At 38.2% G+C, this 19,017-nt stretch overlaps 1 long non-coding RNA gene across 1 annotated transcript in view; it reads left to right on the top strand.

Annotated features, from left to right (window-relative positions):
* Positions 1–15,843, top strand: part of LOC105370345 (uncharacterized) — a 134,781-nt gene extending 118,938 nt beyond the window's left edge. Inside the window, exon 7 of the long non-coding RNA XR_931698.2 lies at positions 14,572–15,843. This is a non-coding gene — a long non-coding RNA (uncharacterized LOC105370345). The remainder of the gene's footprint in view (positions 1–14,571) is intronic.
* Positions 15,844–19,017: the final 3,174 nt, after the last annotated feature.

Below are 19,017 nucleotides of genomic sequence, written 5' to 3'. Positions count from 1 at the left end.
AGAGAAGGCACTGGTTTAAATCTGCATGGCAAGCCTGCCCGAGCTAGAATTCGATGAGAACCCTCAGGTTAATAGCTTTGCTCTTTGAGAGAGCTCTAAGCTCTTTTCATTCCAGACCAATTTCACATTTACATACTACCTGCCACTAAAGCCCCAAGGTCCTTCGCCAACAAGAAGCAGATATTTACTCACTAAAGTTAATGTCCCAGCGCTTTCTAGCCTTTGGACACAGTTTTTAGGCAACAAGGAAAATAATACATATGTATAAATGGCCATTTGTGTTCCTAAAATAGCAAGGGGCTATAACCCAAAGCCTAGAATTCTTTTTCGTTTTTTTTTTTTTGTTGTTGTTGTTTGTTTGTTTTGTTTTGTTTTGAAACAGTCTTACTTTGTGGTCCAGACTGGAGTGCAATGGTGCAACCTAGGCTCACTGCAAACTCAGCCTCCCTGGTTCAAGTGATTCTCCTGCCTCACCCTCCTGGGAATCTGCGATTACAGGCGCCAGTCACCATGCCCGGCCAGTTTTTGTATTTTTAGTAGGGATGGGGTTTCACCCTGTCGTTCAAGTTGGTCTCGAACTCCTGACCTCAGGTGATCCATCGTCTTGGCCTCCCAAAGTGCTAGGATTACAGGTGTGAGCCACCACGCCCGGCCCTAGAATTCTTTTTCTTAAAGACAATTATAATGGTAATTCCGTTTAAAATGTCACTATAAATCTATTTCATTTATTACTGCATGATTTTAATCTATTATTCCACTTAAAAGAAAAACAAATCAGAGAAATCAGCAAGGGGGCAATAACAAATGTGGGTTAGGGTACACAGCCCACTTTGGGACCATATTCAATGAAGAATAAGATGAGAGAAAGATAATGTGATTTCTTTTATTATTATTATTATTATTATACTTTAATTTCTGGGATACGTGTGCAGAATATGCAGGTTTGTTACATAGGTATACACGTGCCGTGGTGGTTTGCTGCACCCAACATCCTGTCATCTACATTAAGTATTTCTCCTAATGCTATCCTTGCCCTAGTCCCCCACCCCCCGACAGGCCCCAGTGTGTGATGTTCCCCTCCCTGTGTCCTTGTGTTCTCATTGTTCAACTCCCACCTGTGAGTGAGAACATGTGGTGTTTGGTTTTCTGTTCCTGTGTTAGTTTGCTGAGAATGATGGTTTCCAACCCGGATGAAGCTTGATTTATTAAGACCAATAGTAATTACAGAGTGTGCCGTCCATGAGTGAGTTAGGATGTTTTCTGTGACATGTGAGAGAAAGCCCAACTCAATCTTCCTTAAGCATAAAAAGATACTTTATTGGCATGTATGAGTAACAGTTCAGGAGTAGATCCTCAAGAGTGGCTTATCTAAGGCCTCAAAGATCATAATCAGAGTCTAATTTAACTCATATTATATGTATTGATTAAGCTTCATCTATGTAAGCTCTATACTTAAGCTCCAGTTCCTACTCAGAAAGAGGGTGACACTTCCTGATGGACATAACTGAAACCCCAGAATGGGGTCACAAAAGCCCCGAGTTAGACTAACTTGTGAAAGAGCCCACCTTAGAACCAATCATGATGCCCAAAGACTTGGAAAGTGCTGATTTTGAAGCTCCATCATTGAAGCAGTGAAAAGGAGGCCCGGCATGACTGGCCCCATTTTGCTCCTAAGCCCACCTTTAGGTTAACGGCTTTTGCTTATCTCTGCATGTAGGCCAAGCTGGCTACGGGTGGAATTTAGTTTATAGTTTCACTTTAAAGCAAGGTTTGTAATAATTCCTTCCCAAAACTAACCACGGAGGAAACAAGAAGGGCGTACACATAATTAAGAACATTAGGTTAAAGATTATAAGAGCATTGTGACCTGACCAAGGATGAAGAACTTCACAGTCCACTCCATTGGACCCTCATTGCTGCCCAGATATATGTGGTCATTGGTTGCCTCGTGATTTCAACTCCTTCCCTCTTTCCTCTTCCCCAAACTTAAATGTTCCTAAAATTCTATTAGGATGGTTCTTTAGGACACTAATCTTCCATCTTCTCAGTTTGCTTGTCCTCCAAAATAAAGTCAGCTTCCTTGCTGCAACATCTTGTCTCTTGACTTATTTGCTGTTGTGTGGCAAGCAGTATGGGCTTTGAACTCAGCTACATGTCTCCAAGTCTGTGAAAATGATGTCCTCTTAGAGTCCTTCTGTTCACACCTGTCTCCATCTCCCGGGGCTGGAGATGTAGTCAGCTTGACCTATGCAGAGGAGATGGTGCGTTCCCTCAAGCCATATGTGAATTTCCTGTTGCCATAAGAAGATTGATCCTGGGGCTAACAAAACATCAAAGCCTATTATAGATAATATTTAATTAAATCTATGGATACTTCTAGTTCCGTTAGCTTCCAGCCAATTGTCAATGCCACTTCATAAAAATTAAGACAGGAGCACATTTTTGGAGCACTTAGTATAGACTAGATCTTATGTTAAATTATTTAGACTAGGCAGACATTTATCATAGCAGTTGTGTAAGTAATTATAATTGTGTCTTCTTAGAGCTGAGGAAACATATACCAAAAAATTTTAAGTAATATTGACAAACCCACATAGCCAGTGAGAGGAGAAGCAGGAGCTTAGAAACAAGCTTGTCTGACTCCAGAGACTGCAGCTTTGCTTATAAAGACAGAATAGAGAATGTTGCTTGAAAACCTAGGTTCAAATATATGTTTCACCACTTAGTAGCCATTCTTCTTTGAATTCTCCACCTAGATTTGGGATATTTTCTTCTATAGCTAATGCCTAAACACTTAAAAGTATTGTTCTTTTAAGGACAGGCACCTTCAGAGCCTGTCAGAAGTTGCGATCAAATTTCTTCCTTAGTCCTACAATTTCTATTAGCCTCTTTTTCTATGTCAGTTACTCTGGAGTTTACTTAAGTCAATCAACCTTCACTTCAAAACTTCTTCCCTGGAATCTTTTTCCTTTTCCTTTCATTTAGCTTAGCTCAAAGTCTATGCAGTCTTTTTTTTCTTTTTTTTGAGACGGAGTCTCGCTCTGTCACCCAGGCTGGAGTGCAGTGGCGCGATCTCGGCTCACTGCAAGCTCCGCCTCCGGGGTTCACGCCATTCTCCTGCCTCAACCTCCCGAGAAGCTGGGACTACAGGCGACCACCACCACGCCTGGCTAATTTTTTGTATTTTTAGTAGAGACGGGGTTTCACCTTGTTAGCCAGGATGGCCTCGATCTTCTGACCTTCTGATCCGCCCGCCTCAGCCTCCCTAAGCAGGGGTGTCTTTATTTATTTATTTATTTGTTCATTTTATTTTATTGTTTTTTGAGAAAGAGTCTTGCTCTGTCGCCCAGGCTGGAGTGCAGTGGCGTGATCTCAGCTCACTGCAACCTCCACCTCCCAGGTTCAAGCGATTCTCCCACTTCAGCCTCCCGAGTAGCTGGGATTACAGGTGCCCGCCACCATGTCTGGCTAATTTTTGTATTTTTAGTAGAGATGACCTTTCACCATGCTGGACATGCTGGCCTCACGACCTCCTGACCTCAGGTGATCTGCCCACCTCGGCCTCCCAAAGTGCTGGGATTACAGGCGTGAGCCGCTGCATCCGGCCAAAGCAGGGATGTCTTTAATGCCGCATCTTCAGTGCCTACCATAGAGCCCGGCATGCAATAGAAGTGTGCGCTAACTCTTCCACTTATCCCTGGGTTAGGCCCAACTCCTCCAGCTATAGTAGTAGAGTCAAGGAGATCCCAGAAAAATCTGTTTTCTCTGCACCCAGGCTTTTAAGTCATCATGAGCAAGACTCTGCCTTTTCTTAGTTTTTCCAGGTGGTGAAGATGTGGAACAGGAAAAACCACATAAAAATGCAATCACATGAATAAATATTGCCTACAAAGGCTGGATTCAACTGAAGACCTTACACTCTAAATCAGGAGCACAGACTCATGTTTATGCCTTTGTCCCAGGCACCAACTTCTCTTGAACTTCTTTGCTGACCCTGCCTGAAAGTGGAGTTAACTAAATCTTGTGTAGATCTGTCTCATATCACTATTTAGCCCATTTGCAGATAGGTATGATATTGTTAAAATGATGAAAATGCCCCACGTTGGACTCAGTTGGATATTCTGCTCCGGCAGATCAGGTTCTAACTGGAATCTTGGTTCACTTCACTTCTGTAGGCTAAGATATTCTATTCGTACTTGACTGAGCATTGTATTGATGATCCCTGATAATGCAGCTCTTCAAATGTAATAAATTTCTTTTGTAATTGACTGGCCATGCCCACTCAAGAGATATATGTTTGTTGCCTGATTGAGTGTCTAAGTAAAGAATTAAATGAATAAATGAAAGAGTAACATAAGAAATAAACAACACTGGGACAATGAACTGAGACTTCATTTATTAAGAAGCAATTATTGATAATTTTGTATATGATTTTAGACTATAACTAATATACTCCAAATGCAATAGTAGACAAGATAGAAATGGCCCCTTCCTTCATACTCGTGGTTGAAATACATTGTATTGCTGATGTTCCATAGCTTTTTTACACATGTTGTTTTCATTTGTTTCAACTAACGGTAAGGAGTGTGGATATTTGAATCGGCCAGTGCAAAATGCAGTGACTTGGAAAGAGGGAATCACTGTTAGTGAATCATAAACAATATTTGAAGGTCCTTCAGTGGTTTATTAACTTCAAATAATATAACTAGATGAGTCTCGGTTTTACAAGTAACCAGGAAGTAATGCAAGAATCCTAGCGAGGGTGGTATCAAAAACATAAAGTTTATGTATAAAAAGCATTTGAACTCAAGAATTTGACATAGACCTTAGTGAAAATGCAGCTATTTCTTGTCAGTTTAAAAGAAATAAATAATTCGTTAAATTCAAAGCAAGGGATCCCTAATCAACTTAGCTCACAGGTAATTTCAAATAAACATAATGCTTATTAACAGTTCCAATATTTGACTTTTTGCTCAACCTAAATTCAGCAATGCAATGTGCTGAGATATATCCCAATAAAGAGCAGCTGCTTTTGTTTTGTTTTATTTTGTTTTAATTTATTTCACAAACAAGTTTCTGCATGAGCCTGAATCTTTACAATGTGAAAGCTGTTTGGATTCAGGTAGGAAATACGTTTGAACTGATGCATACCAAATTTCCAAAAGTTCACCTTTTTATCTTACTGCTTAGCTGTTGAATAACACAACTTTTGCTTGGTCAAGCCTTCTTTCATTTTCTTGAAGATGAAAATGTAATTCTTGAGTTACTTCTGAAGAACAGGTTGGGGAAATGCAAATAAGAGCATTACTCTTCTAGAGTATGAAAAGATTACCAAATTTAGGTTTTCTGGTCAGTAAAATTATATTTTCCTAACTTGTTTACTAATTACAGAGTCATTTAATTAGATTATCATTTCTTCTTTTTCCATTGCCATCTTTTTAAATGATGATATTTCCAGAACTGCTCTATTTAACTGTTCAGTGAAATTACATTCATGAAGCTGACAATTATTCAGAAGTAAGTTTCCTATGTAACTCTCCCATTCTTCATATTCTTTGTTTCTAATTTATATTTGGGTCTGAAAATTGATAAAGTTACTAGTTTAGAAATAATTAACTGTGACTTCTTATTTTCAGAAACATAAATGAGGGTGCACTTCTCCACAGAACCTTTTTCACATTCTTTTAACAACCAAATCATTCCCAATTTTCTGGTGTGTAAATTCCATGTGATCAGTACAAATAAACAAACTGACAAGATTTGGGCAGTTGGAACCCATTGTTTTACAACGTCTTTGTTTAAAATCTTTCATAATTCATCTTCAGCAATGGCCTTCCTAGCAATTAGTTACCTTTAGTGTCTTCATTTTCGTTTAAATGTTCAATGATCAGGATAATTAGAATTAATTTCTCATTGTCATTTTATGGTAATGAAGCTTCTGCCACTTATCACAAGCATCCTGCAGGCACAGTGTTACCACACAAATATGTGACTCCTCACTCTTCACACACTGGTTTATGGTCCCTGGTTAAAGTGGTAACAGTAGGACCTGGCCTGATTCCAGTTTAAATGTATGCCATATTAGATGAAAGATTGTGGGTAGTCATGCTGGTATTCTTGCCCCTTGTGGATGGCATTCTATGTGCAACTCAGTTCTCCTTAAGCAACACAAGAGAATTTTCGTCTCCATTAGTCTGGGTGTTTTACAGACTGGGATTAGTTCTACAGTTAGAACAAAAGGAAATATCTTTGTGAATGAAGATGGAAAGCAATGTCAATTCAAAACTTTATAAAAACTTCAGATAGAATTCAGGAAAGCAAAGGTTGAAAAACTTAGTACCAGAAAATCTATGAAGAAGAAAGTGAGTCAGTGAATTCTCAAGCTGGAAGAGCCTTCTTGCATTATCTGGTCTAGGATTCTCCAGCCACAAAAAAAAAAAAAAAGTAATTGTGTATTATCATCCCCATTCATTCCCTGTCATATCTCTGCCTAAGCAATTGCAGTAGAATTCATCCTATCATTTGTATCCTCTTCCTTACTCCTGGGAAACATTTAGATAGGGTAAAGGATTTGGTTGAGCAGAAACCTGGGGTGGGAAATAGGGAGCATATCTAGGTTTGTCAAAGAAGGTATTTAAGGCTGCCCTGTGAAATCATACCAGTTTCAAAATTAGAAACTTGATCTTTTTTACAGCTGACTTTTCTTCACCACATTTTAAACTTGTTCTTTATTCTGCATTTTCTCAAGAAGGGATATGATATTACCAAGAGAAATACTTGCTCTCAATAACCCCAACCTCATTTTCTTATGAGTTTGGGTAAGTTAGAAAGAAGGTCAAACTTAGTAGCTTAAAGAAAAAAACACATTTTCTTTTGCTTATAATTGTTGAGGAAGGAAATTGGAAAGGGCTAGGCAGGGCAGAATTGGAAGTTTTCCTGTGTGTCTGGCAGATGTTGGCTAGTGCTGCAATTATGTGGAGTCTATTTAAACTGGCCATCCTATGGCTTCTTCATGTGGCTGGTGGTGAATGGTGGCTGTTGGCTGGGAACTCAGCCGGGGATGACAAGTGGATCACCTCCATGTGTCTTTGTAGCACAGCAGTTTCAGGATTTTAGAATTTCTTCCAGTGGCTGGCATATACCTGAAAGAATGTCCCAAGAGAGTCTAAGGCAGAAATGTGTGGCTTATTTATAACTAGTTTTGGAAGTTACAATGAGACATTTCTGCTGCAGTTTACTGATCACAAGAGAGTTACTAAGATTGATTGAGTCTCTACCCATGTGAGGGAGGTGAATCAAAGAACTTGTTGGACAGGTTTTAGACCTGTCATAGAGTGTAAAAAAGCTAAGAGGCTTCATATTCAAGGGAAGAAATACTTTAAAGTTCTCCAGGGATGAGGCTAGTAGTGATGATTCAGGGCAAGACCAGTGAAGTAAGAGAGGCTGGGACATGCATTGAAGAAGCTCACTGAGAAAGTTCTCTGGTAATGGGCTGCAATGTGCTGGAGTTAGTCCACAATGGCTTGCAAGATCCAGTTACTCACTTGTTTTCTCAATTCCAGCTCTGAGTTCAGTGATGTCATTGATAGTTTGAAAATGACTACAGTGGAATATTTACACCACATTAATTGGCAGACTCTACAAATAAGGGTGTTTTTTCCCCAGGAGACCCAGTTGCTGAATAGTTACCAATTGGTAATGGGGCAACTTAGAAACTACTTTTAGGAGAACTGGACTGTCTCATAGCAATTCTATGTTGTGAACTTTGGGGTTAAAACCACTCTGCTTTTGTAACCTTTTCAGTAAAATTTGCGAGGTTCCCTATTGCTTTTGGGTGAATGACATTTTGGGGGATAATCTAATGTGATTCTGAATTTGAGTCAACACTGGCTGTTTCAGAACAGCACATGTTGAAGCAGGAGCCTGATGCAGAATACGTCATTAGAGGGAAAGTGCTGGTAATTAGCAGAAATTACAGGAAGCTCTGTACTTCAAAGACTTTAAAATTGAGTGTGTGAACCAAGCACATTTGAGTTTCCAGAGAAGGAATGAAGCTCCAGTTGACACTTTGGTTATACAACTGCATGATAATTTATCATTTACAGTATACTTTTATGTACCTCATAATGTTTAAATGGGTTATAGATCAAATGCAAATATTTAAATATTTTGCATGACATTGGACAAGTCACTTAAATTTTCTGATACTCAGATTCTTCATCTCTAGGAATTAGCTGAAAGTATCTTTATAGAGAGTTGTTTCAGTGAGTGCTGTAAGATTAAAAAGAAAAATAAGAGACCATCATTAGCCATGAGTTTAGTAAATATTTCCCAGTGGTGGAACACCAATTCCAAGTTTATGTAAGTTGGTGTTGATGGGAAATAAGCAATGATTAAACAAAGGAAAATCAGGAGAAAGATTGTTAACAAAGGGCAATGCTGTATAAGTGCAAAAAAAAAGGGGAAAACCACAGTTTTTTGATTTCACAAGGAAGCAGAGGGCTGGCTTTCATTCATGCCCCACTCCAGCCTCAGTTCCATTGCTTCTTGCCGGCAAAGCTTTCTCGCTCTGACAGAAGGCAAGCAAACCCCAAGAGGCCCCAAGGTGGCCTGTCAGAGGGGGTAAAATATATAGTTTTGCAATTGTATAATATTAATGTTCTTATCAGAGTGAGAATGTGAGTAGAAAGCAGAGATTTTAATAATATGACCCAAGGAAGTCAATTTTGAACATTTTACAGTATTAACAAAAATGTTTAGAACTTTAGAATATATTTAACTCAATAAAAAATAAATATATTTTATGTTATGTATGAATAACATAAACAAATGTTTGGATTAGTTCAGAGTTGATATTTTAAAATAATAAATGTTTTGTTCTAGTCCATTTAATTATGGGTCTTGATTGGCAATTCTGGAAAGGACTCAGAAAGTAAAAAAGGAGAGTAGGGAAAGCCTCAAGCTTAGATACCACCTAAGTCATCATTAATAGCTATTGGTAGAAATATGGGTGGTGAAGACCATTCTGATGTGTTCCCAGATCCTACTGGGGAGAATGGGATTGGAAAATGGAGAAAAGTCTATCTTTGTTATGAAGTGTCACATAACTTGGCTGAGTTGTGTTCCTGTCCTGATATTTTGGGGAAGGTAGAACTTGTGAGTGATGAAATTGTATATTTGGCTGCAGCACTTTCTAAACAACACTTTGAAAGAGTAGCCTCCTTCCTCTTTGCTGCTCCTAGTAAAATGGGAGAAGAGAAAAATTATTAGAGGATGGAATTGTTAATCAAAAGGAAAGCAAAACTTAAATATCTGGAAAATTCTTAGTCTATCCATATTGTAAAAAATGAGGAAGTATCTTTGCAAGAGAAGACCAAGGGTGTGACCAAAGGACAATCTAACAGAATTACTCAGTCATTTAACAGAATCTAGAACCTGTTGTCCCAGACCATGGAAGGATAATCCTAAAAGCAATTCAAAAACTATCAGAACTGCCACCCCTATCGCAGACCCAAAATGCAAAAGTCGGGGCAGCAGGGTGGTTTCCAATTTAAAGAAGGGACCACCACGACCCCGTGCTGCTTCACATTGTGGATCTACCTCCCTTACTCTGTTACCATGCACCTTGGTAGCCCCAGATTCAGTTCTGGTGAACTCTGGCAGGGAATTGTTAGGGGGGCAGAGCCACCACAGTGAACTTCTAATAGGCCAATGCCCAGCAGAGCCACAAGAGTAGGGCTGCCCCTGAGACCTCAGACCTGGAGAGCCACGGGCATAAAATTCTTGGCTGGAAGATCCACAGGCACACATCTCCAATCCATGAGAGCTGCATTGTAAGTTGCATCTGGCAAAGTCATGTAGCCAGGGGTTCCCAGAGCCTTGGAGGTCCAAACTCTGGGGGGCAAAGCTAAGGGAGTACCACCCAGGGTGCTCAGAAGGGACTTTTCCCCAAAGTGGGTTGGAAGGGCAGAGCATCAAACCGAAGAAGATTGTTATTGAGACTTATGCTATAATGTTTTCTCTGTTGGGCTGTGGACTTAGGGCCTCTTTCCCCTTTCCTCTTTCCTGTTTCTATGTTTTAGAATGGGGATGCATGTTCTGTGCCTGTCCCATCATTGTATTTTGGAAGCACATAACTTGTTTGATTTCATAGGTTCACAGCTAGGGAACAATTTGCCTCAAAATGAATCTTACCTTGAGTCTCATTCATACCTAACTTAGATGATATTTAGATGAGATTTTGGACTTTGAACTATTGAGTTGATGTTGGACCAAGTTAAGACTTTTGGGGCTACTGGGATGGAACGAATGTCCTTGCTTGTGAGAAAGACATGAATTTTGAGGGCTAGGGACAGAATGCTGTGGTCTGAATGTTCATGTCCCCTCAAAATATGTATAAAAATTTGATTTTCCAAAGTGATAGTATTAAGTGGTGGGGCTTTTAGAAGGTGATTATGGTGGAGCCCTCATGAATGGGATTACTGCACTTACAAAAGAAGCCCAAGGAAAACCCCTTTCTCCTTCCAACATGGGAAGATGTAGGTGAAATATGACATGCTTTTCTGTGAACCTAGGTAAGGATCCACACCAGACTCCAAATTTCCTGGTGCCTTGATCGCAAACCTTTTAGCCTCCAGAACTATAAGAAATAAATTTCTGTTTTTAATGAAGCTGTGCAATTTATGATACTTGGTTATAGCAGCCAGAAGAGTCCAAGACGTGGTCCTACAATGAAGTTAGAGAATTTTTTTAAGTGTCTGTTTATTGTTACAAATGGCAAACAAAAGGTCATTATGCTTACACACACAATAAATGTGTACAATGTGTATGAGTAAGTTTAAAACAACAATTTTTTTAATATGAAAGTCCCAGTTAGTTTTAAAAGAAAATGAACAACTGAGAGTAATAAAACCTTTGTTCTTGTTTTGACAGTGATGGGGAAGGGTTTTGAAAAATAATGAGTTGGCTTCAGTTTGGAATTAGGGAATTACCTACCATAAAACTGTCTTTTAGATATCCTAAAATATCATCTGTTTTGAGATACACAACATCTAAAGGCCAATGACTTTATTTTCCTGCACAGAGAAAGGAGACCTAAGAAGGATTATTTTAGGTTTGGATTCAGAAATGGCCATTGTGTAAAGTATGTGAGAGCAGATTTGAATATTTGCCATAGTGCAGAAATAATTGCTTATAGTACCTGATTTTTTTAAGTTATTATTTCATCCATAATATATCTTTTTCTTATATCTTTAAAATTTTTACAAGATAAAATGAAAATTGAACTAACTTAGACAAAGGTTATTTTCAAATTATAAAAGTATATAGATTTCAAAATGTTTATTGAATACTTATGCACAATGGTCAAAACACTTATATTTTTATATAATACACTATGATTTTTAGCATTCTGAGCAAATATGTGAAACCTTTTAGATATTTGCATTATTGTTAACAAAGAAGTTAGTGAAACATGTCACATATATACAGTTTTTTTATATTAGCTTGAATTTCTTAAAATCAGCCTTTACCAGGTATATTAGTCCATTCTCACTCTGCTAATAAAGACTTACCTGAGACTGGGTAATTTATAAAGAAAAGAGGTTTAATTGACTCACAGTTCAGCGTGGCTTGGGAGGCCTCAGGAAACTTACATCATGGTGGAAGGGGAAACAAACACGTCGTTCTTCACATGGCAACAGGAAGGAGAAGTGCTGAGCAAAGAGGGGAAAGCCCCTTGTAATACCATCAGATCTTATGAGAACTCATTTGCTATCATGAAAACAGCAGCATGAGGGTAACCAGCCCCATGATTCAATTACTTCCCACCGGGTCCCTCCCACAACACATGGGGATAATAGGAATTACACTCAAGATGAGATGTGGGTGTGGACACGCCAAACTATATCATTTCATCCCTGCCCTCTTTCAAGTCTCGTGTCCTCACATTTCAAAACGCAATCATGCCCTCCCATCAGTCCCTCAAAGTCTTAACTCATTCCAGCATTAACTACAAAGTCCAAGTCCAAAGTCTCATCTGAGACAAGGCAATACCCTTTCAGCTATGGGCCTGTAAAATCAAAAGCGAGTTAGTTACTTACTAGATACAATGAGGGTACAGGCAATGGGTAAATACATCCATATCAATTGGGAGAAATTGGCAAAAACAGAGAGGCCACAGGCCCCATGCCAGTCCAAAATCCAATAGGGCAGTCATTAAACCTTAAAGTTCCAAAATGATCTTTGACTCCACGTTTCACGTCCAGGTCATATTGGTGCAAGAGGTGGGCTCCCACAGCCTTGGGCAGCTCCACCCCTGTGGCTTTGCAGGGTACAGTCCCCCTCCCCGCTGCTTTCATAGGCTGGCATTGAGTTCCTGCAGCCTTTCCAGATGCACGGTGCAAGCTGTTTGGTGGATCTACCATTCTGGGATCTGAAGGAGGGTGGCCCTCTTCTCAAAGCTTCAATAGGCAGTGCCCCAGTGGGGACTCTGTGTGGGGGCTCTGACCCCACATTTCCTTTCCACACTGCCCTAGCAGAGTTCTTCATGAGGGCTCCATGCCTGTAGCAAACTTCTCCCTGGATATCCCAGCATTTCCATACATCCTCTGAAACCTAGGCAGAGGTTCCGAAACCTCCAATCTTGTCTTCTGTGCATCCACTGGCCCAACACCACGTGGAAGCTGCCAAGGCTTGGGGCTTGCACTGTCTGAAGCAACAGACTGAGCTGTACCTTGGCCCCGTTTAGTCACAGCTGGCATTGAGCCAGTTGGGACTCAGGGCACCATGTCTTGAAGCTGCACAGAGCAAGGGGGCCCTGGTTTTGGTTCAATAAGGCATTTTTTCATTTTAGGCCTTCAGGCTTGTGATGGGAGCGGCTGCCATGAAGGTCTCTGACATGTCCTGGAGACATTTTCCCCATTTTCTTGGTGATTCACATTTGGCTTCTTGTTACTTATGCAAATTCCTGCAGTGTGCTTGAATTTCTCTCCAGAAAATGGGTTTTTCTTTTTTATTGCGTCTTCAGGCTGCAATTTTTTAAACTTTTATGCTCTGATTACTCTTGAATGCCTTGTTGCTTAGAAATTTATTCTGCCAGATACCCTAAATCATCTCTCTCAGGTTCAAAGTTCCACAGATCTCTAGGTCAGGGGCAAAAAGCTGCCAGTCTCCTTGCTGAAGCATAGCAAGAGTCACCTTTGCTCCAGTTCCCAACAAGTTCCTCATCTTCATCTGAGATGACCACTTCACTGTCCATATCACTATCAGCATTTTGGTCAAAGCCATTCAACAAGTTTCTAGGAAGTTCCAAATTTTCCCACATCTTCCTATCTTCTGAGCCCTCCAAGTCTCTAGAAAGTTCCAAACTTTTCCAAGTTTTCTTGTCTTCTTCTGAGCCCTCCGAATTGTTCCAACCTGTTCTTGTTACCCAGTTCCAAAGTGGTTTCCATATTTTTGGGTATCCTTATAGCCCCACTCCCTTGGTACTAATTTACTGCATCAGTTTGTTCTCACACTGCTAATAAAGACGCACCCCAAACTGGGTAATTTATAAAGGAAAGAGGTTTAATTGAATCACAGTCCTGAGGCTGGGAATGTCTCAGGAAGCTTACATTCATGGCAGATGGGGAAGCAAACACGTCCTTGTTCACATGGCAGCAAGAAGGAGAAATACTGAATAAAGAGAGAAAAGCCCCTTACAAAACCATCAGATCTCGCGAGGACTCACTCACTATCATAAGAACAGCCTGAGGAACCACCCCCATGATTTAATTACCTGCTACCGGGTTTCTCCCTTGACACGTGGGGATTATTGGAACTACAATTCAAGATGAGATTTGGGTGGGGACATGGCCAAACCATATCACCAAGATATAAAATTAAGTTGCCTCACTTTAATAACAAGGTTGAGTTACATTTTAAAATTATTATTAAAGTATATATGTGTGTGTGTGTGTGTGTGTGTGTATATATATATACATATATGTCTTTAAAGTTATGTTAAGTGTTCCATGTACTACTGTATTGAGCACATAGAGGTGCTCAGTAAATGTCAATGTTAGGTGAATAAATGAGCGGATAAAATATGGACCAACTTAGCTGGTCAGTGAGTTTATGGTTACTTATCTTTGAGAAGCATCTTTTGCCTTTCTCCATATTGAGATTGTTTAATTGAGCTGTGTAACTTTTGTATATGTTATTATATGTGTTTAAATTTTGTATATATTTTGTCTACCTTAGTAGCAAATTTTATTGAGAATATTTTTTTCTCAAAATAGCATCCCTTTAAACTAGAAAAAAAAACAGTTTTTATAGCTCTCTTTTGAACTAAATACTAAAGAATAAATTGGTCAAGTTCTTTCTCTGATCATGAAGTACCTGCAAACTGCTTCCCATAAATGACAGAAAAGGTTAAGAGACATTACCAGGATGGCTGCCCCAAATTGTTGCTGGTATCATTAAAATAGTCAACAAAAATGTGGAGCCTACAGCCTTGTAAAAATAGGAACATTTAAATCCATACTTTAGTCATTTCCTCTCCCTGATTTATGTTTTCTTGGTTGTTTGCAGGCGCAGTCAACAGCAGTGGAAGAGCTGGCTCATGTGTGGCTCAGGCTGACTCCACAATCAGAGTGATTATGTGGAAATCAATCAGAATTTTCTTCTTAGAAGATGTTTGTTCTGACATAATGACTGACTTTCCAGCTAATTTTTATTCATAGGCTTCTCCTTGCACAATGATCTCTATTTCTCTCAATGTTATTCTGTGTCTTTCTTGCTTGCCTGCACATTCTGAAAAAAAAAGGAAAGCAATTCCCTACATTTTATTTTGATACTTAATGTTGTTTGCTAACATATTCAGAACACAATGCAACTTTATATATTAGAGCACTTATAATATATATTAGGAAAACATCAATTAGGTACCACCAGTTATTTTAGACAGGTATCTCTTAGGTAAAATGTGGTGAAAATAGAGGGGCAATGATAGAATTCATATGTGAAAGAGTCAATTGGCCATCATTATGCCAAAATTATTTTGTGGTTCAGGGGACATTTTAAACTTTAATTTTTAAGAATTAAACTTTAATTAAATTTATTGTAGTTTAAATGCAATCACAAGGAAAGACTCTGAACTGGAAACACCAAGCCAAGCTCTTTCCTAGTTCTGGTCCCCTATAAACCCTGAAAGTTAATGCAATTATTGTAATTTTTAAACCACCGAGTTCTCAGGGTGATTAGTTATGCAGCAATAGATAGCCTGAAAAGGACCATTCTTTCTGGCACTGAAAATTAAGAAGAGTGATTAACAACATAAGAATGTAGTTTGTGCTGTCTGCCACAGATTTATGTTGTAGCTTCAGTGATTGCTTCAAAGCACCCTTACTAATTGCCAGCCTATTGCTGATACCTAGCTAAATTAGCATGTGTTAGTTTTGATACCACTATAGGCATTTAAAGGATAGCTGATACATTCTATATAAAATATAATTATTTTCCTATCTTTAGTTTATCCTAAAGTAGCAGCTATTATATTCGCTTCTTGATTAGCTTTATACATAACCAGAGAAAGTAAAATATCACAGAGTATATTTGAAGACATAAAAGTCTTTGGACAAAGCTCAAGTAATGAATCAGGATGCTATTACATCCTCCACATGACAGTAAATATATTTTATATTCCTAAATTTTAAGCTTTTAACAAAAGCAAATTTTATACTGGACTATTTCAATTTCTAGGGAAAGGAAATTATCATTTACTGTCTTTGAGGCTATAATCTATTTAGCCATTATTTTTATATTGATCAATTTATAATAAAGGTAAGAGAAAATACTACCACATATATGTTGTTTATATAATTTTAACTTTCATAATTAAAATACTGGGTATACTGCAAGATGTCAATATTTATAATAGCTTATATTTGGAAACAATTATACTTTATATACTCCTAATCCATTGCCTTGTGTGTCATTGAAGAAATTGAAGTTCACAATAATGACTGAACAAATGCTCAAAGCTGGTCTGTGGCAGAACCAAAAATTTCCATGGCACCTTTCTCTTTCCATATTGGGGTGATCTGCCTAATTTGACTTTCTGCTTATATGTCTAGACTCTACCCCTCATTCCTTCTGCTAGTGTGTTGTTGAACCCTTTCTATTAACCCACTCTCGATTTTTCTGTTGCACAATCAATCTGTAGCCTGAATGTTGAGTCCCAAATGCATGAGCTACCTGGCCGAGTAATCTAACTAGATTAGCCTGAGTATATCACTTTAAGGCCAATGTAAAGTTATGTTGTAACTACCTCATAGTTTTGCAGAGGCAAGAAATAGAAGTTAAGGAAGAGAAGAAGCCAATCTTGAATCAGTTAGAATTTCCTTGGACATAGAAAATCTCTACAAGCAAAAACCCATTTGATTGAACAAGCAAGCTTATGCAGTTAAATATATCAAAGATCTTGTCACAAAAAGTGTAAAGGGAAAGTAAAATAAGGAGGGAGCATGAAGAAGCCAGCTTATATTAAAGATTCAAAGCAGGGATATAAGGAAATTCAAGCCAAAAATAAGGAAGAATTCTTATAAATGCCCCAAGAATGAATTCGATGTTTGGTCGATATTCCAACAGATTTAGTAATGCTATTTTTAAAGTCAACAGGCTGCCCATTTTTGCCTCACACTCTGACTGCATGTAATCTGTCAAGTACTCTGATGAGTTCTGGAGATGCTAATGCAAAAAAGATATAAAATCCTTACCTTGAAAATGTAGTTCACAATTTAGCCATGGAGTTATGGCAAGCATCTTGTCTTCAATTTTAGCCCCTCCTCCATCCCTCTCCCAGACACCCATTGTCCTCTTTCTCACCACATCCACCCCCTTTTTTGTCCTGTCTTTGGTGCACTATTTATAATTCTTCTCATGTCTACCACAACTATTTTGGGTAGTAAGAACATCAGTATGGAGACCCCTTAATCCTAACTAATATCAACTCTATCTGTTTGGTATTAATTCTTGTTTATTGAACTTGAGGCATTGAGTACTACAAAAATTATAATACACTACTGGTGAACATTACTTTATTAATGATTAGGTTCCACTTGGATGTTTGTCATTCGTATGTAGCTGTTCTCTCCTTGTAGCCTGTAAACTTTCTATGGATGTCACAAAAAGAGTTTTAAGGATTTTGCTTAAATTAAAATTAATACATCAAGAAAATACTATGCCTCAAACAAAAAATAATCAGTTAATTTAGTTTTTAGAAATCTTTTACAAAAAACGTGATATTTAATAATCTTTATGCAAGGATTTTTGGGATATTAAAATTGTCACAGATTTAATAATACGTTTTATTGTATAAAATTTTTCTTTTCTCTTCAAAGTGTTGGGAGAGTGAATTCTCTAAGTAAAAACTGAAGAGTAAGATGTTATCATTAAACATTTCAGAAAATGCACACTATCGTAGACTGCGCACTGTGAAAATGATCAGCTAGTAGAGGTTTTGGTGAACATATAGTAACTTTTATCAACAAGTAATGTGAATATGTGAAATCTATTGCTTTTCCAAAAGAAAGAAACTTTTACACTTCTTGGTAAAGATAAACTTTCATGTAAGAAAAAATAAAAACATAATTTTAGCAATCCAAACCATACTAAAATCATAAACACTTGACCACATGTTTGAGTACCCCAAAAATTGTTCCTGTGTGGATTCTTCTTCTAGGATGATCAGTCCTCATGGCCTTACTACTCTCCATTTCTGTCCCACTGAGGTTAGCCAAAGTTCACTTGCCTTGTCAGTTAAGTTTCTAAATCAGATGAGTTATGTTTTCTATAATTGAGTTAACCACAGTTAATTGCTTAATAGACTCTGTCTACACTAACTGAAAAAAAAGAATTAATTGCTTGGAGAAAATGCATTATATATTTTATTCACATCTACAGTCATCCAGGCCAAAGTGACAAAGGCACTTTCAACAGTGGCCAGGGCCAATGGCGACAGCGGGGCCAGTGCTTAGCTCAGCCATGTGTTCAATCTAGTACTTTGGCATGTGGATATAAAGAAAATGAGTTATAAATGAACTTCTCCTTAGAGCTTAATTCATTATTATTATTATTATTATTATTTCTTTACATAAGAAAATAATTTTAGGAGTGCTTTGGCAAAAGTTTAGGTACAATTTAAGAAAATGCCATTTGTAAAAAAAAAAAAAAAGACTAGTTTTTTTTTTTAATTAAGTTTTTACTTTTAATGATTTAGATTTAGGTTTTAAAAATGTATTTCCTAGCCAAGGTCTAACACCAGGTATCTGAGATTTTTCTAAATTTTCTCTGAAAACATGAGACGCACGTACAGTTATTTAAAATTTGCTGCAGCCATTTTTAATAGATTTTTTATGTTTGAAGAGATGCCAATCGCTTATTATAGTAAGCTATGATAGCAATGCCAATGAATCCTCAATTCCATTGCTTAAATATAAGTGAAATAATAAAGGAAAAGACCAGTATTGAATATATTGCCTCTTCCTGCTACACTCTAACATATTCACTACAATAAATGGAAAGTTGCACATACAATAAAAACTTAGGCAATTTATTTATTTACTTATTTTTTATTTATTTTTTTGATATGGAGTCTCGCTCTGTCGCCCAGGCTGGAGTGCAGTGGTGCGATCTCGGCTCACTGCAAGCTCCGCCTCCCGGGTTCACGCCATTCTCCTGCCTCAGCCTCCCTAGAAGCTGGGACTACAGGCGCCCGCCACCACGCCCGGCTAATTTTTTGTATTTCTAGTAGAGACGGGGTTTCACCGTGTTAACCAGGATGGTCTCGATCTCCTGACCTCCTGATCCACCCACCTCGGCCTCCCAAAGTGCTGGGATTACAGGCGTGAGCCACTGCACCCGGCCGGTAATTTATTTAAGTATAATTGATAATCAGGGCAATATCAGAAAATCTTGAATAATTTGTACTCTAAAATGAATTTATGCTTTTCAGTGCTGGAAGCATTATAGAGGTTG

Source organism: Homo sapiens, chromosome 13 (assembly GCF_000001405.40).
Source record: "Homo sapiens chromosome 13, GRCh38.p14 Primary Assembly".
NCBI lineage: Eukaryota > Metazoa > Chordata > Mammalia > Primates > Hominidae > Homo > Homo sapiens.
Note: the sequence above shows the minus strand (reverse complement) of the source record. Positions and strands in the feature narration are given on the sequence as shown.